Source organism: Homo sapiens, chromosome 19, assembly GCF_000001405.40.
Source record: "Homo sapiens chromosome 19, GRCh38.p14 Primary Assembly".
NCBI lineage: Eukaryota > Metazoa > Chordata > Mammalia > Primates > Hominidae > Homo > Homo sapiens.
Window position 1 is genome coordinate 34020238 of NC_000019.10, and position 26654 is coordinate 34046891.

The 26654-nt window shown below is 44.0% G+C and overlaps 2 pseudogenes, besides 1 other annotated feature; one reads left to right on the top strand and one right to left on the bottom strand.

The window, feature by feature from the left end:
- Positions 1422 to 1725, top strand: RPS4XP23 (ribosomal protein S4X pseudogene 23; annotated as a pseudogene).
- On the bottom strand, positions 2328 to 3213 carry RPS4XP20 (ribosomal protein S4X pseudogene 20; annotated as a pseudogene).
- Positions 10611 to 10763: a silencer, noted in NCBI's record as "fragment chr19:34521753-34521905 (GRCh37/hg19 assembly coordinates)". NCBI's record gives its function as "represses an EF-1alpha promoter that drives an FKBP-Casp9 reporter gene in an ReSE screen in HepG2 liver carcinoma cells {active_cell/tissue: HepG2}" and the evidence as "EXISTENCE:reporter gene assay evidence [ECO:0000049][PMID:32094911]".

Here is a 26654-nt window from a genome sequence, read left to right on the forward strand (position 1 = left end):
TGAGGTGGGAGAATCCCTTGAGCCCATGAGGCGAAGGCTGCAATGAGCTGAGATCGCACCACTGCACTTCAGCCTGGGTGACAGAGTGAGACCCCGCCTCAAAAAAAAGATCATGTATTGGATTCCTGTTGTCCTCCGAAGGAGAGTAATCCGGTTTTATTTTAAAATCATAATAATCTGTGAATTTAAACATATTTTGATGTTTTGATATATTATAAATATTTCTCTTATTTTAGCTCACATGGTCCCAAATTTGGCAATAGAGATCTTTTTCAAATTAACTCCTGAGTCCTTTTGACATGATCTTAAATTCTCTGCTAACTTCCTCACTATTTACTATAATAAAATGTTCCTGTTTTATTTTGTGCATCTGCTTTCTTTCTTTCTTTCTTTCTTTCTTTCTTTCTTTCTTTTCTTTCTTTCTTCTTTCTTTCTTTCTTTCATTTTTTGTTTTTGTTTTTGCTTTTTTTTTAGACAGGATCTCACTTTGTCATCCAGGCTGGAGTGCAGTGGTGTTATCATAGCTCACTGCAGCCTCGACCCACTGGGCTCAAGACATCCTCCCACCTCAGCCTCAGATCTTCTTTGCCTATCTGCAAAACATTTGTAACTTCTTCTAGAATTTCATCTCTTTCCTCCTTTATTTTCCACATTTTTCTCCTTTCAACTATTTTAAAGACATTATCTGTTGTTCTATTTGCATGTATATTCCTCCTAATTTAGTCTTTATTTCTGATTTTTTTTTCTTCTGTTTTTAGGGGTTTTTCTCAGTTCCATAAGCTTTCCTGCTGGTCTAATTCTGACTTATGTTGTTCTTGCATGTCTTATAGTAGCTGGGACTATATAGTCCTGAGTAGCTGGGACTACAAGGCACATGCCATCACTCCTGGCTAATCTTCTTTTTTTTGTTTTTTCTGTAGAGATGGGGTCTCTCTGTGTTGCCCAGGCTGGTCTCAAACTCCTGGGCTCAAGGGATCCTCCTGCCCCAGCCTCCCAAAGTGCTGGGATCACAGGTGTGAGCCACCCTGACCGGCCCCATTTTGGACATTTTCTACCCCAGATCTGGAATCAGCCATTTATCCAAGAGCTCTGATTTCTTTTAGTGGGAAATGGTATTTTAAAACTAAAATCTGGGCACGAGAGATGCGCATTGCTAGGTCTTTTCATTAGTCAGAACAAGAAATATACATACACATACATACACATAATATTTTTTAAATAAAATACCTCGAGTTATATTGATAACTTCTCATTTAAATCAAAGTTTTTTAACATCTCTTCTGAATTACATCTATGTTTCTTTTCTGCCATACTGGGAACCCCAGTTCTTTAAAACACAAAAGATAATATAGTTGGAATATCTCATAATTTTCTGGGATGCAACAGTTTAATGGTATTAATACAGCCACCTCCAACCTTAAGGGGGTGCTAACCTGGGAAGAACTGGTGTTATCACCGACAGAAAGAGGCACCCTGGATGTTTTGACGTGGTTCACGTGAAAGATGCCAACAGCAACAGCTTTGCCACCCAGCTTTCCAACCTTTTTGTTATTGGCAAGGGCAGCAAACCATGGATTTCTCTTCCCCGAGGAAAGGGTGTCCGCCATTCAACCCATTGCTAAAGGGAGAGACGAGACTGTGGCCAGAGCAGTGGGTGAAATGGTCTCTGGGTGACATGTTAGATCTTTGTACATAATTAAAAATAACATGGCATGATTAATTTTTTAAAAGGCTTTAACTGAAAACAGTTAAAAATGTTTTTGCATATGACTGCTCCTGTCTCCCCCTATTTTTTTAAAGCTGTGCTAAATTTACAGTGTCAGAACATATAGCCAACATACAGCCATTACAAGCCATACTCTTTCTTTTTTCCTCTCATTTAGTCCAAGGTCTATAAGTAACTTATTCTGTTGTCTATCTAGTCTTTTGGGTTGTCTGAAGATTTTTTTTCTTGTAGATTCCTCAAGAAAGGTTCATGGAAGCACTATTTTCTGAGTTCCTGCAGATTGATAATAGTAATCTTTATACTTAAAAATCAGTTTTCCTGGATATGACATCTTTGCCTCTCATTTTATTTCCTTGAGTATCTTAAACATATTTCTCCATTTTTTTCTGGCATAAAATATTGCTGTGAAAAAAATCTGAAAATAATTTAATTGACTTTCTCTTCTAAGTCACTTGCTCATCTTGCTGCAATAAGCAAATGATTTTTTTTTCTTTCTAGTTCAATTATTTGACTAGAATATGTCTAAGTGTTGATCATTTTGAGTTATCCATTCCAGGATCGATATTCTCAAGTACATGGTGAGCTCTTTCTTTTTTTTTTCATTAATCATTCCATGTTATTTTTAATTACATGCAAAGATCTAGCATGTTACCCAGAGACCACTTCACCATTGCTCTGTTTTACCCACTGTTTCACCCACCATTTCACCCACCACCAGTCTCTTGTCTCTCCCTTCAGCAATGGTGAGGCGGATACCCTTTCCTCGGGGAAGAGAAATCCATGGTTTGTTGCACTTGCCAGTAACAAAAATGTTGGAAAGCCAAGGGGCAAATCTGTTGCCATTGGCATCTTTCACATGAACCACATCAAAAGATCCACGGTGCTTCTTTCTGTTGGTGATCACACCAATTCTTCCCAGGTTAGTATCTCCAATCACCATACACAGGTTACCAGTGTCAAACTTGATGAAATCAGTGATCTTGCCAGTCTAAACAGTGTCATTCACCTTGACGAAGGAGTCAAGGTAGTGGATGGTGTGAGCATCGTGGAACCAGGTGAGGGATTCCTTTTGTGCCCACAAAGATTTTTCTTACTTTGCACAACTTGTACTTGGCCTCCTCCAGTGTAATACAATGTACAGCAAAGCGACCATTGATGCCACAGATGAGACAGAAATTCTCTCCCGTCTTGTGAATGCTGATGACATCCGTGAATCCAGCAGGGTAGGTTATATCAATTTGGACCTTGCCATCCATCTTAATGAACGGCTGCATGCAAATCTTTACTTTGTCTCCTATGAGGGCATACTTAAGTCTGTTCCTTAGGAAAATATTAGGAGAGACACTCTCTCAGCTTGTGGGGACTGGTGGTTGGACAAGGAGCAAACACACTAGTCAATTCATCCAGCATCCAATGCTGTGGAGCTGCTACCCGCTTCAGATGCTTCCTAAGACCACGAGCCACGACTGTATTAGGCACGGAAAGAGCATGGTGAGCTCTTTCAACATGCAATTCCAAATATTTTTCACTTCAGGAAACTTTTCTGAAAGTATAGTTTTCAGTGTTTGTTTTCTATCCTTGCCTTGGTTTTCTTCTTCAGGGACTCTTATTACGTAGGTGTTGGATCTTCTTTGCCTATCTGCAAAACATTTGCAACTTCTTCCAGAATTTCATCTCTTTCCTCCTTTATTTTTCACATTTTTCTCCTTTCAACTATTTTAAAGACATTATCTGTTGTTCTATTTGCATGTATATTCCTCCTAGTTTAGTCTTTATTTCTGAATTTTTTTTCTTCTATTTTTAGGGGTTTTTCTCAGTTCCATAACCTTTCCTGCTGGTCTAATTCTGACTTATGTTGTTCTTGCATGTCTTATATAATTTTCTCAGTGTCTTTTACCTTCTTTTGAATGAGAAGATTACAGTGTTGATTTGGTTTGTGAGCTTGTCTTTCTACATATTTTCTCTGTCTGAAAAAGTGTTATTCTGCTCTTTAATCTCTTTTTAAAAATAATAACTTGGTATAGGATTTGACCTCAATTGCTTGCTCATTTTTATGTAAAATTAATTTTCCTGAAATTTTAGAAGAAGGAGTGCCTCCAGGTAGCTTTTCTTATTTCACAGAACCCCCGCTTCACTTATGCTGTCTCCTCCAAAATTTGGAGGTTTGCTTTTTGAGATGTGCTGGCTCTGTGCCCCTCCAGCTTTTTCATCTGGACCTTCTCCTTCCTTCATCTTTATTGGCCCTGCTCTGCTCAATTCAATTTCTATTCCCAGCAGTTGCTTCTCAGTGTGGGAGCCTATCCTGAAAGGTACAATTTCAGAGCATCCATGGGAGTCTCCTCCAGGCCCTTGAGACCTTACCCCAGGCAGCCTGTGCTCGTCCATGATAAGAGAGGACAAAACCCCTCCCGATTTCAGTGACTGTTCCCAGATTGGTCTGCTGCACTTTCCAGTTAACACCTGTTTGCTCTTTGAGGATGCTCCTATTCTCTAGTCTGTCAAATACCCCATTAGTTCCCTCTGCATTCTTCCACATAGACACTGATACTCTAAAGGTCTTGTGGCTGTTGTTGGTTTGTCTTTGCCATTTTTGTTTTGAGGTTTCTGGGAATACCTTGTAATTAGTTTTGTTGTAAATGTCATCCATGTGTTTTTGGTTGGCCACTAGTGCTCTATTTTGTTTACAAATTTGTAAAAGGTAGAAAGCTCTGCCACCATCTTCCCAGAATTCCTTATTTTTATTTTTAATTTAATATGATCATGCAAACGCTAATAAGAACACCAGATAACAGGATGGACACTTAGCATTGTGTTACAATTGCTTACAGTATTCAGTGCAGTAACAGCCTGTACAGATTTGTAGCCTAGGAGAATAGACTAAACCATATAGCCTAGGTATGTAGTAGGCTGTACCACCTAGGTTAGTGTAAGTATGCTCTATGATGTTCACCCAATGACAAAATTTATGGTACCATAAATTTATGCATTTATGGTGTCAACACAAGAAGTTGGAGTGAACCTAAAATCCCCAGGTATTATAATAGGTATCTAAAAACTGTTCTGACAATCTTATAAAAAACTCAATGTGTGTTTTTTCATGCATTTAATTTCTAGATTTGCTTCAGTGTCCCTGTGAGAGGCTCACATTTATCTTTCCTTTATGCCTTAACTCCATTGCCTGTGTAATGAGGATAATATTTTTAATATTAGAAAGATACAATTTTTATTCCCTTGTAGTCATATTCCACCAAATAGGTAAAGCTGTGATTCAGAGTACCAGGCAAGGAATCAGTCACAGCCAAGAACAGATGGATCCCTATTCAGCTTTCCATCTCAAAACTGGCTTTTTGGGAGGCCACGACAAGACCAATGCCCTGAAGGCTGAGTTTTCTTGAAAAAGAAAGGCCCCTCCCATCTCCAAACCCAAAGTTCCTCTATAAATATTTATAATCCAAGCTGGGAGGACTTACCCTAGAGAAGACTACTTCTTGCGACAGAGAAGACTCAACCTGTGACACAAGGGACATTTCCACTGGATAAGAAAGAAAGAATTCTTGGCACTAGGGATATAAGAGAAATTCAGAAGGGACCCATCTTGATCCAGGTTCACATGAATGCACGGCCTGTGGCAGGTGTTCATCTATGATCACAGCTGGCAGATGTGCAGGCAGGTTGGCCACCAGCTCAGATGCATGTGGCTCAATCCTATGGGACCACCCAAGGAGCTTGATGATATGTGGAACCACATCACCACCACCACAGGGAAGAAAGGGGTGGCGTTTACCCATCAGCCTCCATGAGTTAAGGGTTTCCCTAGGGGTATTACCTCCCCTACATTTCCAGGTTGCACATGTGTGAGTGCTGAATGGGGACACATGGGAATCCCATGTCCCAGCATCAGAGGTTCCAAGGCAGGAATCAGGAGGCTGCAGGGAGGTACTGACAGGTTTCACCTGTGCAGTACTGGTCACTGCTGCAGCAATGTCTAAAAGAAGAGTTGAGTACACAGGCAGTGCCCAATATAGGACCCAGTGAAGTTCTTATAATAGAGAAAGCAAATATTTTAATCAGATGTTCTACCTTTCATTACAATGTGATTGTGACGGTCAATATTGAGAGTCAACTTGATTGGATTGAAAGATGCAAAGTATTGTTCCTGGGTGTGTCTATGAGGGTGTTGCCAAAGGAGATGAACATTTTTGTCAGTGGACTGGGAAAGGCAGACACACCCCCTATCTGGGTGGGCACAATCTAATCAGCTGCCAGCATGGCCAGAATAAAAAGCAGGTGGAAGAACATGGAAAGACTAAACTGGCTGAGTCTTCTGGCCTCCATCTTTCTCCCATGCTGGATGCTTCCTGCCCTCAAGCATCAGACTCCAAGTCCTTCAGCTTCTAGTCTCTTGGACCATCGACCACAGATTGAAGGCTGCACTGTCGGCTTCCCTACTTTCGAGGTTTTGGGACTTGGACTGGCTTCCTTACTCCTCAGTTGGCAGATGGCCTATTGTGGGACCTCATTTTGTGATCATGTGAGTCAATACTCTTTAATAAACTCCCCATTATATACACATCTATCCTATTAGTTCTGTCCCTCTAGAGAACCCTGACTAATACAGTGATTAATCACTTTCTGCAAGAAGTGAAGGTATGTACAGAGTCTGACACTAGATTTTCATTCATTACACATGCAACAAAGAACACATAAAGTCCTATAGACTTTATAAATTTCCTTTATAAATTATCCAGTCTCAGGTATGCCTTTAACAGCAGCGTGAAAAAGGACTAATACAGTTATCTTTTGGTAACTGCACATTTAAGGTGTTAATTTCATCCTTCAATTGACAGTCTGGGGTCTTCGGCTTGGTTGATCATTGCTCCAAGTCATCACTGGGCTTGGGGTCAGGAGGCTCATGCCAGGCTCTAAATGTCAAGTACTTACTGGGTACTGGACAGAGCTCTATGTCCTTGATGTGTTTAACTCATTTAATGCCCCTATCAACCCTATGAGGTAGGTACAATTACTATCTCCATTGTCCAGATGAGGAAATTGGGTAAGTTAAACAACATTAAGCAGCTTACTCAGGTCCCACAGCTAAAGTGGTGTCTTTATTTCCAGCACTTAAAATGTTTCTTGGCCATTCTTGCTCTTAAGGCTGAATGACATGTCTGCCATAACACTTTGTGCTTCTCTTTAATGCTGTCTTCTTTCCTCCCTAAACTTCCCATGGTTTCTAACATTCCCCTTTCCACAACAGACCCTGACTCCTATCTGAGAAATTACAGCCATTAAACAAAAATAACTACTGTTCTTGCTAATTTGGCCAAGGATGTGTCCCATTGCCTCATGCAAAGCGTGGTACCTTCCAGGTCCGTGGAGGTGCTGGGCTGGTATTGGGTGCTCACGGCCACTCCTGAGCTCTCACCGAATGCAAAGCATGGTGCTCTGCACCAGGTGCTCTGGGAGCTTGGGAAGAAACCATAAACACATGAACACACAGATAATACCAGCCCACAAATGAGCATGCCAGCAGAGTTCAGGAAGGGAGAAAGCACTGAACTGAATGGGAGGGCTTTCTAGATAACATTTGCACAGATGGGAAAGAGAGGAGACGGCATTTCCAGCAGGGAGACCAACTTCAGAAGAGGCACAGAAGTGGGAATGCAACTGCAATTGCTATTCTGATTCTAGGCTTGGTGGGAAAAAAAAAATGCTGGCAGAGACTGCCACTAGTGCTAGGAAAAATACGCAACAGTGTACGCCATCAATCAGCAAAGTGTGGCCTTCATGTTGCTTTTTTCTTGAATATAGTTTTTTCTTTAACTACCATGTCTATTCATTTTCAGTCTTCTGTGACTGCCATTAAATAAGACCTAAGAGAGGCATTGTTTTGGACTGAACCCCAACAGAGGCCCCAACCAGACCAAACCAAAATGGAGTCACTTGTGCTAAGTGCCACATCATCAAACTGAAACTTTAAGGAAGCAGGATAATTCCCAAACAGACCAGTTTTCCCTGAAGAACGGGAGATTTGCAGCAACCAATCAGAAAGGGCAGTTAACTCTGCCCTTTAACTCTGCTTTAATCCTTACAAGGAAAGTAAACTTAAAGTAACACTGTCTTGGCCGGGTGCGGTGGCTCACGCCTATAATCCCAGCACTTTGGGAGGCCAAGACAGGCAGAACGAGGTCAGGAGATTGAGACCATCCTGGCTAACACAGTGAAACCTCGTCTCTATTAAAAATACAAAATATTAGCTGGGCGTGGTGGCGGGCGCCTGTATTCCCAGCTACTCAGGAGGCTGAGGCAGGAGAATGGCATGAACCCGGGAGGCAGAGCTTGCAGTGAGCTGAGATCGCACCACTGCACTCCAGCCTGGGTGACAGAGCGAGATTCCGCCTCAAAAAAAAAAAAAAAAAAAAGTAACCCTGTCTTTTTTTTTTTTTGAAACAGAATCTCGCTCTGTCACCCAGGCTGGAGTGCAATGGTGCGATCTCCACTCACTGCAACCTCCGCCTCCTGGGTTCAAGCGATTCTCCTGCTTCAGCCTCCCGAGTAACTGGGACTAGAGGCTCACGCCATCACATCCAGCTAATTTTTTTGTTTTTAGTAGAGACAGGGTTTCACCATGTTAGCCAGATTGGTCTCAAACTACTGACCTCAAGTGATCCACCCAGCTCGGCCTCCCAAAGTGCTGGGATTACAGGTGTGAGCCACTATGCCTGGCCCCTGTCTTATTTTTTGTATTAAGCTGTTCCCTTGTTCCTGCTCAAGCTACTTTACAAAAATAAATTGTCCTGCCACACCTAATGCAGCACCTTTCTATTTTTAAATGGGATGCTGCCCAATTCGTGAATTGATAGTAAAAGCCAATTAGATCATTAAAATCAATTTAATAAAGTTTTTTATTGACACTGCTTTCCCATTACTACAGGAGAGCTGAGTGAGAGACCATATGGCCCCCAAAGTCTACCTAGCCTTACAGAAAAGGCTTGCTGGCTCCTGGTCTAGAATATCAACCTTCCGAAAGAAAAGCTGCCAAAGCCAACCAGTTGGCACTATGGGTGTAAAATACTCACACCCATTTATCCTAAGTTTACATGAAATTCAAGATACCCAAGCTAATTGCATTCTCAAAAAAAGGTATCAAAGAAGGTAAACTGTAAAAAAAACCTGATACTACAGATTCAAATGTAACTGCTTTCCATGTTTCAAAAGATTCTGGAGCACACTCTAATCTGGACAGATTCTATAGATAGGGACTGAGACTCCCAAAGGAGTTGGGATTTTAATAAGCAAATTCTCTCCTTCATTCATAGCAATAAACACAAAAATGTTCAAAGATCATCTGTATTGTATTTGTTAAGAATATGTTAAATAAAAGAAAATATACACAATCCATTAATGTGAAATAACTTGAAACAAAAATTCAGTTAAAGAATTGGTTTTACAAGGATAAAGATCACCAAGTTAAAATGCATTAATTCCAAGATCATTTTACCAAAAGTATCACTGAGCAAGATGATTCCCCATCTCCCAAAATGATAATTAAAGGAGAATGTGGATGTCCATGTATGCTTAGATATTTATAGGAATGGGGGAAAGACATGGTGGACACACAGATCAGAGGCATGGTAGGAAAAGCCCAGCATTGAAAGACACAGGCCTTGGCCGGGCTCAGTGACTCATACCTGTAATCCCAGCATTTGGGGAGGCCGAGACAGGCAGATCACCTGGGTCAGGAGTTTGAGACTAACCTGGCCAACATGGTGAAATCCCATCTCTTCTTAAAATACAAAAATTAGCTGGGCGTGGTGGCGTGAGCCTGCAATCCCAGCTACTCAGGAGGCTGAGGCAGGAGAATTGCTTGAACTGTAGAGACTGTAGTGAGCTGAGATCACACTACTGCACTCCAGCCTGGGCAACAGATAGAGACTCCACCTCAAAAAAAAAAAAAAAAAAAGGAAAGAAAGAAAGAAAGAAAAAGAAAGACACAGCCTTAGTCATAACTCTGCTGGGAATGAGTCGTGTGTCCAAACACAAGACACTTAGCCACCCTGGGACTCCCCTGCTTCAATGAAGGAATCCTGCTAGATTATCTCTAGGGGCTTTTTCCATTTTGAGATTCATAAAAATTAACAGAACGTAAGAGTCTGTTTTTGAGCAAGGGAAAATTGATTAATTTAATGAATGTAAACAAATAGAATCCTTTCTCAGCTTTCTGATATCTTGTGTTTACAGTATTTAAATAGACTTTGTATACTTGAAAGAATATGATTACTTCATGTAAGACCTAATACTATCTAGGCTTCTAAGAACCTTAATGTGTTGGACGTCTCAGATCAGAAAGAAAACTGTAGAGAACAAGCAAGGAATAAACACAGAAATCCCCTGAGAAGAGTAACGCGGTTAAGAAACAGCCTGTGGCCTTGAGCAGCTGTGTGATCACCCACTAACGGTGCTCACTTTAAGAGTGTGGCACAGAAATGAGGGGACCGCACACATCAACACCCCCTTCCAGCGCTCATCAACAGCAGTAATGAAGGCCGCCCTCCAGGGAGAATTAGAATGAGATTTGGGAAATGGCATCAGACACATAAGAAAAGAACAGGAAACATGTTCAAGAACAGCTCAATGTTGCCAAAAGAGCAAAGATCATAAAATGGGGGTGGGGAGTGGAGAGGGAAGACTGTTTCCTGACTTTCTCCTGACAGAGGAAAACATTCTGGGGGCACAGATCCTGGGGAGTAACAGGAACAAAAACACCCGGGGCTGGTGAGTGTGCGAGGAAGGCGATGGACCCCATGGGTGTTCAGCCAGAAAGCTGGGAGTATGTTCCTACGTGGCCACAAAGCAGGGCCGGGAATCAGACCCTTCCAGGGGCCGTCGGAGAGAGCGATCAGGCTCGGAGATGTGGATAGGCAGCCGAACGCATAGGAGCGGGTGCGGGAGATCACCCAGAGAGAAGGTGAAGGGTGGGGCCTGGCTGCCTTGAGGGAGGAGAGGCTGCCAAAGATCACCGGGAGAACAAACGCCAGGCCTGGGAGTGACATAGGAGGCAGGACTGGACTCAGGAGACGGGGCTCAGACATCTAACCAAATGGAAGACTAGCTAAAACAGGGCTGTGTGCAGAAGCACCTTTCCGTAAGACACACCCACCAGCGCACCATGTCGGTTTATCATTGTCAGGGCAACACTCGGGAGTTACTGCCCCTGTCCATGGCAACAGCCCACTGACTCAGAAGTTACCACCCTATTTCTAGGAATTTCTGCATAATCCACCCCTCAATTTGCATATAATTAAAAGTACATATAGCCGGGTGCGGTGGCTCACGCCTGTAATCCCAGCACTTTGGGAGGCCGAGGTGGGTGGATCACGAGGTCAGAAGATCGCGACCATCCTGGCTAACACGGTGAAACCCCGTCTCTACCAAAGATACAAAAAATTAGCCGGGCGTGGTGGCGGGCGCCTGTAGTCCCAGCTACTCGGGAGGCTGAGGCAGGAGAATGGCAAGAACCTGGGAGGCGGAGCTTGCAGTGAGCCGAGATCACTGCCACTGCAGTCCAGCCTGGGCGACAGAGCGACAGAGTGAGACTCTGTCTCAAAAAAAAAAAAATTAAATGGAATAAATAGGAAATAGAATACCACAGAACACAATAGAAGATGTAAGAGAACATCCAAATAATAAGTATTGCTTCCAGAAACATGAAAGATAAGTGTGTGTGACCTGGAATGCAATAGGAAAAGAGGGTCTCAATTTCACTAGGAAATTGAATGATGAAGTGCATCAAAAAGTGGGGAAGTCGCCGGGCGTGGTGGCTCACGCCTGTAATCCCAGCACTTTGGGAGGCCGAGGCGGGCGGATCACGAGGTCAGGAGATCCAGACCATCCTGGCTAACACAGTGAAACTCCGTCTCTACTAAAAAATACAAAAAATTAGCCAGGGGTGGTGGCTGGTGCCTGTAGTCCCAGCCACGCGGGAGGCTGAGGCAGGAGAATGGTCTGAACCCGGGAGGCCGAGCTTGCAGAGAGCCGAGATCGCACCACTGCACTCCAACCTGGGCGACAGACCGAGACTCTGTCTCAAAAAAAAAAAAAAAAGTGAGGAAGTCACAGACATAAAGGAGAGGCTGGAGAGGATACAGGAGGCAGGGCTGGGGTATGGGTGAAAGAGAGTCAGAGAGAGCAACAGGAACAAAGGAGGAGAGGATAGGGTATTCTTATGGGGTCTTGCTATGTTGACCAGGCTGAATGCTGCTCAAGCAATCCTTCCACGTAGCTGAGACTATAGGCATGCCACCGCTGGCCAGGATGGCGCATTCTGATAAGCAATGAGTCCCTCCTTTTTTTTTTTTTTTTTTTTTTGGGAGTGGGGACAGATTCTCTCTCTGTCACCCAGGCTGGAATGCTGGAATGCAGTGGAATGCACCCGGCTAATTTTTGTAATTATAGTAGAGACAGGGTTTTGCCATGATGGCTAGGCTGCTCTCGAACTCCCGACCTCAAGTGATCCACCTGTCTTGGCCTCCCAAAGTGCTAGGATTACAGGTGCAAGCCACAGCACCTGGCCTCAGTCCCTACTCTCTTTCTCTTCCTCTCTCACTCCCTCTCCCTTACATCTGCTCCATCACGAAGGCTTGGCCACGAGGCTGCAAGTTAGGAAGATACAATTCAGAATACAAAGTAGAAAGTCAAACATTAGCCCCTTCTAGTTCCAAGGAATTTGAGGGTGAGGGTATGGGAAGGAAAGGAGGGGACTGAAAGATGAGGAGAAAGCAGGGCAGTCAATGGCCTGGAGGATGCAATCAAGGAATGATACTGGGAGGGGCAACTTCACCAGAAGGGCGTGAGGATGCATGCAGGATGCAACGTCCGAATAAGTCAGCAGGTGCCAGTGATGACCGAGCTAAGATGCATTGGCTGAAGTAGGTATGGGACAGGTCCATTGGCTAATGTAAATAAGGGACAAGGTCAATGGAACTTCAAGGTCAAGGTGCTAGACAGATTGTACATGTGGGTCCCAAAGTCCTCCAAGGTGGTTGCAAGGCTAGATGTGCAGAGAGATCATGAACCAAGTCCTGGGTGAACAAGGCTCTCAGTGGTCATCTCCCTGATAACAAAATTGCTGCCCTCTGCTGATACAGAACGGGGGCAGGCCTCCAGGAGTGCAGAGGCAGGCTGAGGGTCTGGGGCTCTAACTGGCCCTTAGACAGCCTTTCACATAATTTTCCTATTTTTAGACCCACCTTCAACTTCAGTCTGCCTATTCCTAAGTCTTTTGGGGATTTTGTCAAATAAATTGGGATGCTTTATGGCTTTTCTCCCAGCAGCTTGGAATACAGCTTTCTTGTGTCTGCCAAGTCAGCTACCTCTCACTCAAGTGCTTTCTAGCTTCCAAAATGTTGTCACTATTTTTCTTCTTTCTTGTCCTTTTTGTTCTAATGGATTTTTCTTTTTAAAAGATCCTTTTACTCTTGCTTTGGTTGGGTTTCAGGAAGGACCAAAAGTAAACACATGTTGAATCTACCATCTTTACCCCTGAGCTACTTTTATGACTGTAAAAAACAATAGTGCTGTATTCAGGCTGGGCACGAGGCTCACGCCTATAATCCCAAGCACTTTGGGAAGCCAAAATGGGCAGATTGCTTGCAACCAGGAGTTTGAGCTTGAGCAACAGGGTGAAACATTATCTCCACAAAATACCAAAAAATTAGCCGGACATGATAGCATGCTCCTGTAGTCCTAGGTACTTAGGGGGCTAAGAGGATCACTTGAGCTCGGAGAGGTTGAGGCTGCAGTGAGCTGTGATTGTGCCATTGTACTCCAGCCTGGGCAACAGAGCAAGACCCTGTCTCACACACATACACACACACACACACACAACCAATAATACTATATTCATTTTCACCCACAAAAATATGTGCTCCCTTTGATGTGTGAACAAGGTACCCCAGCCTCCTGCCTCAGGGCAGCCTGATGGAGTTGGCTAAGAGGTGTTCAGTCACACAGGCACTTTCCCCTGAGCCAAGCACATCCTCCCAGCCAGACCGCCACCACCCATGGGACTGTGTCTCTCAATGACAGTTACCACCCCACTGGGAAGAAACTCACCAAACTGTTCTATGAGCCTTGGGGCAGGGTGGAATCCTCATCCATGTAAATCAAAAGTTTTAAAACATCCCTTCACTGTAATGTACACATATGGAACCCAGATACATGATTTAAGAAAATCGTTTCGTAAGAAAATATAATTTCTTCATGATTAAATACAATGCCATCTAGTTACTCCTTCCTAAAGCTTTGATTGCAAAGAGTAGTTTCAGATGTTTCACCATTATATTCAGAAACCAGGAGTGAATTAAGACAGGCAATCACAGAATTGAAGGGCTTCAGAGGTAGAAAGAGCCTTAGCTACATGGTCAAACAGCCAGCTCTAACCAGGAAAACATGCCACCCAAGGCTTTATAGAAATATGTGTGTTGGGGCCATGCCCAGATCTTGGGGACCGACACACCAAGGACAGGGCCCAGGCATGTACACATTTATGAAACTGCCTAGATGGCTCTGCCAGGTACCAGGCACCCCCAAGAAACCACGCCTCCTCTGTCCTCATAATATCCCTCCATGTACAGGGGCAGAACACTGGCTCTGAGAATTTGTGCAATGCACCAGGTAGGCCTGGCAGAAGAGACACTGAAAGCCAGGCTGACACATGTTCTGGGTATTTTTACAACCTGCTTTATTCTTTCATTTGTTTATTTATTCTTTCAACAGCAATGTGTCAGGATCTTCTATGTCCTAATGATAGCAATATTTATTGAGTGCTTACAGTCTGCCTGGCACAGTTACCACTTTACAGGGGTTATCTCATTTAATCCTCATATTACCAGAAAGGGGTCCCAATCCAGACCTCAAGAGAGGGTTCTCAGATCTTGCCTAAGAAAGAATTCAGGGCGAGTCCATAGAGTAAAGTGAAAGCAAGTTTATTAAGAAAGTAAAGGAATAAAGAATAGCTACTCTAGAGACAGAGCAGCCCCGAGGGCTTCTGGTTGCCCATTTTTATGGTTATTTCTTGATTATATGCTAAATAAAGGGTGGATTATTCATGCCTTCCCTTTTTAGACCATATAGGGTAACTTCCTGACGTTGCCATGGCATTTCTAAACTGACATGGCGCTGGAGGTAGTGCAGCAGTGAAGACGACCAGACGTCACTCTCATCACCATCTTGGTTTTGGCTGGCTTCTTTACTGTAACCTGTTTTATCAGCAAGGTCTTTAAGACCTGTATTTTGTGCCAACCTCCTATCTCATCCTGTGACTTAGAATGCCTTAACTGTCTGGGAATGCACCCTGGTAGGTCTCAGCCTCATTTTACTCAGCCGCTATTCAAGATGGAGTTGCTCTGGTTCAAATGCCCCTGACACTCGCAACAGTATTATGAGGTAGGTACTTTTAATATCCCCACTTTACAGTTGAAGAAGAAAGCACAGAGATGTTAGGCAGTATGCTAAGGATGTGTAACCACCCAGCGGGTTCATCTTGCCTGCTGCCCAGATAGAGCTGATTTATCAAACAGGGGAATTGCTATAGAGAAACAATTTAATTCATGCAGCGCTGGCTGAATGGGAGTCCCGAGTTTTATTATTACTCAAACCAGCCTACCTGAAAATTCAGAGGGTAGGGTTTTTCAACTTTGGCAGGCAAGGGAAAGGGCACTGCTGATTGGCTGGGGATGTAATTAGAGGGGTGTGGAAAATGTGTACTGAGTCTGCTTCTGGGTGGGGCCACAGGACTGGTTGGCTGGTCCAGGTCAGAAGGGCAAAAATCTCAAAAAGCCAGTCTTAGGTTCTACAACAGGGATGTTATCTGCAGGAGTAATTGGGAAAGTTGCTATCTTGTGACCTCTGGAATAATGGCTGGTCATCGTTTATGCCTACACCTCAGCTGATCTCGGATTCCTCTCATCCTCCTAACCTGGTGGGCTTTACAGAGGTAGTTTAGTTTTGGGGAAGGGCTATTGCTATTAAACTATAAACTAAATTTCTCCCAAAGTTCGCTTGACCCAAGCCCAGGAATTGCCTAAGGGCAGTTTGGAGGCTGAAGGCAAGATAGGGGTTGGTTAGATCAGATCTCTTTCACTGTCATAATTTTCTCACTGTTATCATTTTTGCAAAGGCAGTTTCAAACACACAGCTAGTAAATGGTGGTGCTCAAAGACAGCTCCAGAACCTGGGCTCCCTCCTAACTGCTAGGATCAACTGCCTCTCAGGTGCTCTGTTTCCAGGTATCACATTTGTTATCAGGTGCTCTGTTTCCAGGTATCACATTTGTTAAGAGGCGTAGAGAGAAGGAGAGATGGGTGAGCAGTATTACAACCCAACCTTCAGTAGGGCAGAGGTGGTCACCCAGGAGCCATCAGAAGATAGAGGGGTGTTCTTGCCCCAGAGGTTGGGCCAGTGAGCTGAGTCTTGAATGACAGGAAGTAGGAGGGGATGAGGGTGAGGGAGGAGTCCGGGCAGCAGAAATCACAGAAGAATACCATTGGGAATACCACAGTAGTGTAACAGATCCAAATTTCAGTGCCTACACTCAGGTAGCAAGACGTACCATTTCCTCTTTTCTTTGAGACCTTAATGTCTATTAGGATCCCCCATTCCTTTGGGTGTCAGAAATAGTTTAATTCAGAGGCAGGGTCCACCTTTGCCCTCAAACCATGTCTTCAACTGGGGGCTCCATGGAGCCATGGTACAAATCTATCCTTACTCATCATCTAGCCACAATGTTCCTACTGAGGCTGCCCACACGGGGTCCTTGACCAAGAGGTCTGTGGTTTTTCCCGTCAGAATACCTTCTTGCCTTAGTGAACTCTAGCCCTCCTGTCCTTCTCTAGCAAGAGTCCTCACTCTCTCTTCCTTCACTGATACGCTTCTCCAAAGATTCTCATCACCAGGTCTCCATGTCTTCACCTCTCAGCCTTCATTCACTACTCAATACATGGTCAGAAGGATTCTGTTCCCACAACCCATCCACATTGTTCCGCTAAGATCACCTATGGGCACCATGTTGCTAAATCCAGCAGTAGCTCTTCTCTTCGTCTTGGCTGACTTCTCACTCTCATTCCATGATAGCACAGTCTCCTGCATTCCCTGCTACTACTTTAACCACACCTGAGCATAACCTTGATTTTTCTCGTATTGTCTTGATTTTACCTCCAGCCTCCCCCAGGACCAAATGTTTAATCCATCAACACGTTCTATCAATTCTATTGTCAACAAATATAGGTCAAGTCCATGGACTTCTCTTCGGTGCCATTGTTAATACCCTGACATAAGCTCCTCTTCTCTCTCACCTGGATTCATGAAACAGCCTCTTTACTTGGTCTCTCTGCTTCTACGAAATGCAGTCCCCACAAAGCAGTCACAGTGATCTTCACACACACACACACACACACACACACACACACACACATCTGATTATGGCCAGGTGCGGTGGGGTATGCCTGTAATCCCAGCACTTTGGGAGGCCAAGGCAGGTGGATAACTTGAGCCCAGGAGTTCAAGACCAGGCTGGGCAACATGGTGAAACCCTATCTCCACAAAAAAACACAAAAATGAGCCAGGCATGGTGGCACGCACCTGTAGTCCCAGCTACTCGGAAGGCTGAGGAGGGAGGATTGCTTGAGCCCAGGAGGTCAAGGCTACAGTGAGCCATGATTGCACCACTGCACTCCAGCCTGAGTGACAGAGCAAGACTCTGTCTTTAAAAAAAAAAAAAAAGAAAGAAAGAAGGAAAAAAAAGAGTCAGTATAATGTTTCATCACACTTGAATACTTTACTGTACGGTTCCTAAAAAAAAGCTTATTCTCATATAAAACCACAGGACAAATATCAAAGACAGAAAATTAACACTGATATATTATTCCCATTAAATCCTTAGACCTCATTCAAGCTTTGTCCAATAATATCCCTTGTAACAAATAACTTCAGAATTACCTGTTGTACCAGGTTGTCATGTCTCCTTAGCCTCCTGCAACTTGGATTGGTTCCTTAGTCTTCCTTTGACATCCATGAAGATTACAGGCAAAGCCAAGGAGGGAGGATCCCTTGAGCCCAGGAATTCAAAATCGGCCTGGGCAACATAGCAAGACCTCGTCTCTACCAGTAATAACAAAAAATTAGGTTGGGTACCGTGGCTCACGCCTATAATCCCAACACTTTGGGAGGCCGAGGTGGGTGGATCACCTGAGGTCAGGAGTTCGGGACCAGCCTGGCCAACATGGTGAAACCCAGTCTCTACTAAAAATACAAAAAATTAGCTGGGCATGTTGGTGCACGCCCGTAATCCCAGCTACTCAGGAGGCTGAGGCAGGAAGATCTCTTTAACCCGGGAGGCGGAGGTTGCAGTGAGCTGAGATTGTGCCATTGCACTCCAGCCTGGGTGACAGAGCAAGACTCTGTCTCAAAAAAAAAAAAAAAAAATTAGCTGGGTGTGGTGGCATGCACCTTCGGTCCCAGTTACTCAGGAGGCTGAGATGGGAGAATCACTGGAGCCCAGGCAGTTGAGGCTGCAGTGAGCTGAGATTGCACCCCTGCACTCCAGCCTAGACAACAGAGCAAGACCCCATCTCAAAAAAAAAAAAAAGATTACAGGCAAGTTAAACTGTAGGCTGTCCATCAATTTGGGTTTGGCTTTTTAGATTCAGGTAATGCATCCTTGGCATACAGTTATTTCATTGCATCTTATTAAGTAATACATAATTTCAGTTTTCATTGCATCTTATTAAGTAATACATAATTTCGGTTTGCCCGTTTGTTGATGATGTTCAGTTTGGTCACTTGATTAAGGGATGGGGTGGGGGGAGGTCTTCTGGACTTCTGTACTGTAAAGAGACTTTTTCTCTTTATAATTATTGAGTATTTTCATAATTCATTCATTCATTTGTGAATGAATGAATAATTCATAAGTGAATAAATTCATTCATTCATTCACTTATTCATTTAACCAACGTGATCCATGGATTTCTATCTTTTTCAGTCCATTATTCTCATTAATCTGATGCTTCAATTGTCCCAGTTTGGGCCGATGGAAACCATTTCAAGATGGCTTCTGTGTCTTTTTATTTGTCTCCATCCTTCTTGGATCCCACACTTACCTTCTGGAATATGATGTTCTAGGTTCCTCAGGTTCCTCTTGTACTCTCCTAGCCCAGTCATACTTCTTTTTAAACAAGATGTTTTTGAAGAGACAGGGGTCTGCTCTGTTGCCCAGGTTGAAGTGCAGTGGCACAATCACAGCTCACGGCAGCCTCGCACTCCTGGACTCAAGCGATCCTCCCACCTCAGCCTCCCGAGTAGCCAGGACTACAGGCATGCACCACTACCTGGCTAATTTTTTAAAAAAAATATGTAGCTATGTTGCACAGGCTGCTCTTGAACTCCTGGCCTCAAGCAATCCTTTCCCCTTGGCCTCCCAAAATGTGGGGATTACAGGTGGAAGCCACCATGCCCATGCCCAGCCCCCAGCCATCCTTCTGCCACTCATATTTTGACACACCATGCCAGGTAGCACTTCCACCCCCATATTCACTCTGTCCAGGATCTAACACCCCCACCCCGCATACCAGGCCACCCACCATGGTAGAACTCCAACACCCCATGCCAGGCAGCGCTCCTAGGTGGATGCCTGCCTCACCTTGCTTGAATTTTTTTTTTTTTTTGAGGTAGATTCTCACTCTGTCACCCAGGCTGGAATGCAGTGGCACAATCTTGGCTCACTGCAACCTCTGCCTCCCAGGCTCAAGTGATTCTCCCACTTCAGCCTCCCGAGTAGCTAGGACTCCAGGTGCCCGCCACCACTCCCAGCTAATTTTTGTATTTTTAGTACAGACAGGGTTTCACCATGTTGGCCAGGCTGGTCACGAACTCCTGACCTCAAGTGATCCACCCGCCTCAGCCTCCCAAAGTGCTGGGATTACAGGCGTGAGCCACAGAGCCTGACCTCTTGCTTGAATTCTGATACCCGCTGCATGGATGCTCTCACCTGGGAGATGTCTGATGCCTCACATAGGGCTGCCCTCTTATGCGGAGCACTTCTTTACCCCACTCATGATCAGACACCCCACACTGGGCTGTCATCCTACACAAATGCTTTCCACACTCCAATGCTCCGATGCTCCAAGCTGGGCCGGCCTTCAGCAGGGAGGCCTTCTTATCCGACTCAGGTTCCAATGCTCTGCATCAGCCACCAAACCTCACCCTGGCTATCTCTGACAGCCCAGGCTAGGCCATCCCCACCCCTCCCATGTGGATACCCTCCTCACCTGCTTCAGGATGGTAGGGCTTCCCTGCTGCTCTGTATGGATGTCCACCTTGCTTGGTCCCACCTAATGACTTTTAAAAGGATTTGTTCAGGAAGAGAAAGAAACGGAAGAAGTGGGAAAGAGAAAGAAATAAGCAAGGCTTTTATTTTAGAATCAAGGGGTGCACGTGCAGGTTTGTTACAAGTCTTCCATGATGCTACAGTTTGAGGTATGAATGGTCCCGTCATCCATGTAGTAAGTAGGGTACCCAATAGGTAGTTTCTCAGCCCTTGCCTCACCACCTCTCTCCCCTCTCTATTAGTTTGCATTGTCTATTTTTCCCATCTTTATGTCCATGTGTACCAAATGCTTAGCTCCCACTTATAAGTGAGAACAGGCAGTATTTGGTTTTCTCTTTCTTTGTCAGTTGGCTTAGGATAATGTCCTCCAGCTGCCTCCATGTTGCTGCAAAGGGCATGATATCATCATTTTTTTTATGCTGCATGGTATTCCATGGTGTATATGTACCACATTTTCTTTTTGTTTGTTTGTTTTTTGTTTTTTGTTTTGAGACGGAGTCTCCCTCTGTCGTGCAGGCTGGAGTGCGGTGGCATGATCCCAGCTCACTGCAAGCTCCGCCTCCCGGGTTCACACCATTCTCCCGCCTCAGCCTCCCAAGTAGCTGGGGCTACAGGCGCCCATCACTAAGCCCGGCTAATTTTTTTTTTTTTTTTTTTTTTGTATTTTTAGTAGAGACAGGGTTTCACCGTGTTAGCCAGGATGGTCTCGATCTCCTGACCTCGTGATCCACCCGACTCGGCCTCCCAAAGTGCTGGGATTACAGGCGTGAGCCACCTCATTTTCTTTATCCAGCCCACCACTGATGGGCACCTGGAAAAGCCCATTCTCTTGTAAACCCATTCTAATCAGACTTTTGTCCCATCCTTCCACAGAAACTGCTCCCAACAAGTTAACCATGACCTCCACAATGGTTGATTCTCACAGCTCACTCAACAGAGCTCTTCCTCCTTCTGGGTATGCCTGGTTCACTTGGGTTTGAGGATACACATTCTCCTGGTTTCCTTCCTGCCTCGTGGAAATGCCAAAGTAGAGAAGCCACCTGCCCGTGAACCTAAGACACTAAAATCCTGAAGTGTGTGGACTGCATTCCTGAATTAAAGGCTACCAAAAATGTCACTGTCATGACATACCCACCCCAGATATATACAAAGCAGTTAGACGGGAACAAAATTAAGGGGATAATTATTCATTACAAAACTACTACCTTCACCAGAGGCCAAGGTTAAAATAATAATCTAAACACTAATCTTGTTCTTAGTTTTAATTAATTTTCTTTAAGATGCTCATCACCATTGAGAAACCTGCACAAATGAATGCTAATTCATTTCACTGAAGTGAAAGAGAAAGGGGCTTTTTTGTTTTAAATGCTTTTCTGATTTTTTTTTAAATTAACACTGCTAACCTATTTCATGTTTAAAATCTTCTCTGCCGAGGCTCAAGTTAGGTTTCCCAATGGAAGAAGAATACAGCTCCTGGGAATTAGGGCAAAATGGCTTGTTAAATGAATGAAGACAGAGGCTGAAATACAAATATTTTGTGAAGTGTTCATATTTTATCAGCCAAAATGAGCTATAGCAAATCATCACATGTCTAAAAAATGTAGAGAATACTGGGAGCTGCTCGTTTTACATCGAGTCGACCTTCTGTTGCTTTAATGACCTGATCTGAAATAACCTGGCAGGCTCAGCATCACCCCCAAGGTCCGTGTCAGCAAAGGGACCCACTGTGTCCATCACTGACATGACGCACGCGCCTGGCTGCCACTCACCAGCAGGGGGCACTGCGCCGGGGCCTTTCTGTAGGCAAAACCACTCAAAAGCTAAGGATTGAGAAACATGTATTCCGGGAGACAGAAAAATGTGCGTCAGTGTCACCATCTCAGACAAACTCATTGCCACACCATCGACAGGACATCTTCATGTGTGTCTTCATAACAATATCCACTGTAGGGTGTTCTGAGGCCCAGAGCCTATCCCAGAATTACAAATAAAATAGTAGTGAAGCCAAAAATACCAAGTCTATCTGAAACCCTTTCAGTGAGCATGATTTTTATTTTATTTTATATTTTGAGATAGGGTCTCTCTCGGTCACTCAGCCGGGAGTGCAGTGACACAATGATAACTCACTGCAGACTTGAATTCCCGGGACTCAAGTGGTCCTCCCACCTCAGCCTCCTCAGTAGCTAGGACTATGGCATGCACCACCATGCTCAGCTGAATTTTTTTTTATTTTTTGTAGAGACAGGTTCTCACTTTGTTGCCTATGCTGGTCTGGAACTCCTGGCCTCAAGCAATCCTCCCACCTCGGCCTCCCAAAGTGCTGGGATTACAGGTATGAGTCACCGCTCCTGGTCAACATCTACATTTTATATTTGGGGAAAGTGGGGCCCATAAATTATGTATTTTGTGATATATGAGAGACAAAATAAGAGTTTTAATTGCATTTAATATTTAAAAGACTGTAATGGCTGACCCATAAAACAGGATTTTATCCATGATTTCCTCTCTAGTGAATCATTCCTATCAGCACAAATTTTTCCCATGTTAAAAAAAAAATAAGTTTTGGCTAGGTGCAGTGGCTCATGCCTGTAATCCCAGCAGTTTGGGAGGCCAAGGTAGGAGGATCACCTGAGGCCAAGACTTGAAGACTTATCTGAGCAACATAATGAGACTGCTGTCTCTACCAAAAAAAAAAAAAAAATTAAAAATTAGCTGGACATGGTGGCATGCACCTGTAGTCCCAGCTACTCGGGAGGCTAAAGGGGGAGGACCCCTTGAGCCCAGGAGTTTGAGGCTGCAATGAGTGGTGATTGCACCACATCACTCCACTCCACTCCACTCCCTGTCTCCAAAAAAAGAAAAAAAAAAAAAAAAAGTTTTGGCCTTTCTTTCCCTTCTCATTACTGCCCCCATTTCTCTCTTTCCCTTTATAGGGAAGTTGTGTGGTAAACACACTCTACGATGAGTATTCACATCCTTGAATAAACTCCTCCCCTTGAAGGAGGACATAGTTTGCTTGAGTGTGAGCAAAGCTGTGACTTGCTTCTAACCAACTGTATACAGCAAAATCAATAGGATGTCACTCCCAAGATTACATACTATTAAGACTCCATCTTGCTATCAAACTCACTCTAACACTCTCTCTCAAGATAGTTCTGAAGAAATAAGCAGCCAGGATAGGAGGCCAATCTATCAAGAAGCTAAAGACAACCTCTAAGAGCTGAAAGCCACCAAGAAGCCAGGACTCTAAGTCCCACAACCACAAGGAAATGAGTTCTATCACCAACCTGAGTGAGCTTGAAAGCACCTTCTTCCCCAGTTGAGCCTCCAGATTAGAACACAGTCAAGCTAATCCCTTGATGGCAGCCCTGTGAGACCCTAAGAAGAGGACCCAGTTAATCTGTGCCCAGACTCTTGTGAGATAATAAATGCATGTTTTCTTTTAAGTCACTAAGTTTGTGGTAATTTTTTATGCAGCTGTGTTCAAGGATTTCCCAACACCACTCTCAGCTTCAATGATCACTAGAAGGACTCGCAGAATTCAGCAGAGCCATTACACTCACAGTTACAGTTTATCACAGTGAGCAGATACAGATTAAAATCATCAATGAAAAAAGATGCATAGGGAAGAATCAGGAGAGACCAGGCATCAGTTTCCAGTTGTTCTCTCACCATGGAGTCATGTAGACAGCACTTAATTCTCCCAGCAATGATGAATGACAGCTCCCACAGAGTATTACCAAACAGGGAAACTCACTGAAGCCTTTCTGTCCAGGGCTTTTATTGAAGGTTGGTTACCTAGGCATGGCTGACTGCCTGCATGGCTGACTCGAGTCTCCAGCACCTCCAGAGATTGAGATCATACTGGGTAGTACAAGGCCCCCGCCATCAATCACATTGTTAACATGAACTATCTTACATGGCCCAAGGCCTCAGATAAACAAAGACATTGTTAACAGACAGGAGATTCCAGGAGATTAGAGGTTGTCTCCCAGTAGCCAGGAAAGGACCAAACCTTTCTTTGGAATGTGGAAGAATCAGACTACCTAAACCTGCTGAATCCTTTATAGCACAGCAGAAATAGATAACTAATAAAGATTCTGGTACCTAGAAGTAGGGTGCTGCTGTAGAAGTGGCTTTGGAATAAGGTAATGGGTGGAGGCTGGAAGAATTGTGATGAGCATCATAGAAAAAGTATAAATTGCTTTAAACAAGCCATTAATAGAAATCTGGACTTGGAGAATGGTACCGGTGATAGCTCAGAAGGAAGTGAGGACCATGTTATTAGAAAATGAAGGAAGGAAAGGCTGGGTGCAGTGGCTCATGACTGTAATCCCAGTACTTTGGGAGGCCAAGGTGAGTGGATCACTTGAGGTCAGAAGTTCGAGACCAGCCTGGGCAAAATGATGAAACCCCATCTCTACCAAGAAGAAGAAGAAGAAGAAGAAGAAGAAGAAGAAGAAGAAGAAGAAGGAGAAGGAGAAGGAGAAGGAGAAGGAGAAGGAGAAGGAGAGGAGGAGGAGGAGGAGGAGGAGGAGGAGGAAGAGGAAGAGGAAGAGGAAGAAGAAGAAGAAGAAGAAGAGGAAAGAAAAAATACAAAAATTAGCTAGGCATGGTGGCGGGCATCTATAATCCCAGCTACTCAGGAGGCTGAGCCAAAAGAATCATATGAACCTGGGAGGTGGAGGTTGCAGTGAGCCAAAATCATGCCACTGCACTCCAGCCTGAGTGATGGAGTGAAACTCTGTCAGGAAAGAAAAAGACAGAAGAAAGAAAAAGAAAGAAAGAAGGAGAAAGAAAAGAAAAAGAGAGAAAGAAAGAAAAAGAAAGAAAGAAAGAAAGAAAGAAAGAAAGAAAGAAAGAGGAAGAGAGGGAGAGAGGGAAGGAGGGAGGAAGGAAGGAAGAAAGAAAAAGGAAAGGAAGGGAAGGAAAGAAGGAAGGAAGAGAGAGAGAGAAGAAGGAAGGAACAGGGACAGTAAATAAGGTAGAAATCAGGAGACATTCATGGGACTGGGGCCAATCAGACATCAACATGGTGGATTAGCATCCAAGATGGAGTAATGTTTGTCTCCACAGGAAGAGACGTGAATCACTGGGGATTAGACTGTGGTGGACAGACTGTAAGATCATCCTTTATAATCCTCAAATTCTAGTATTAATGCACTTTTAGAATCCCCTTCCCTTGAGTATGGGCAGGATCCATAACTCGCCTTAACCAATAGAACAGGACAAAGGTGATGTGACATCATTCCCAGTAGCATGTTACATTATGCTATGGTACCATGTTACGTTAAATAAGATTCCATCTTGCTAGCAGACTCACCCTTGGAACTCTCTCCCTTGCTAGCCATGAGGACTATGTTAGAGAATCGTTAAGTTTCAAGAAACTGCAGGTGTCTTCTACTGGCTGAGGATGCCTCACAGTGTCCAGATGTTTAGTCAAACTTTGTTCTGGTTGTTTCTATGAAGGTGTTTTGTGTGAGATTAACATTTAAATCAGTGGACTTTGAGCAAAGCAGATTGCCCTCCATAATGTGAGTGGGCCTCATCCAATCAGTAGAAGGCCTAAATAGAACAAAAATACTGACCTCCCCCAAGCAAGAAGGAATTCTGCAGCAGATGCCTTGACTTGAATTGCAGTGTTAGCTCCCTCTAGGGCAGGGGTGTCCAATCTTTTGGTTTCCCTGGGACACATTGAAAGAACAATTGTCTTGGGCCACATATAAAATACACGGATGCTAATGACAACTGATGAGACAAAAATAAATATCACAAAAAAACTCATAATGTTTTAAGAAAGTTTATGAATTTGTGTTGGGCCTCATTCGAAGCCATCCTGGGTCACATGCCCCATGGGCTGTGGATTGGACAAGCTTGCTCTAGGGTCACTGTCCTGATGATCTTTGGATCTGAACTACAGCACTAACTCTTCTCTGGGTCTCCATGCTACTGGCCCACCCTGCAATTTTTGGACTTGTCAGCCTCTGTAATCATGTGAGCTAATTCCTTAAAATAAATTTCTCTCTCTCTCTCTCTCTCTTTCTATATATATATATATATATATATATATATATATATATATATATACACACACACACACACACATATACAAATATATACATATACATACACACACATGTACACACACACATATATATACACATACACACACACACGCATCCTATTGATTCTGTTTCTCTGGAGAACCTGAGTAGTAGAGTAAGGGAACAATGAATTGAATGATTGTGAATTTCCCATCAGGTACCATAGAGGCCAGAGGGCAGTGGAAAAACATTTCTAAACTGCTGAAAAAGGCCAGGGATAGTGGCTCACGCCTGTAATCCCAGCACTTTGGGAGGCCGAGGTGGGCGGATCACTTGAGGCCAGTAGTTTGAGACTGGCCTGGGCAACATGGCAAAACCCCATCTCTACTAAAAATACATAAATTAGCCGGGCATGGTGGTGCATGCCTGTAATCCCAGCTACTCAGGAGGCTGAGGCACAAGAATTGCTTGAACTCAGGAGGTAGAGGTTGCAGTGAGCTGA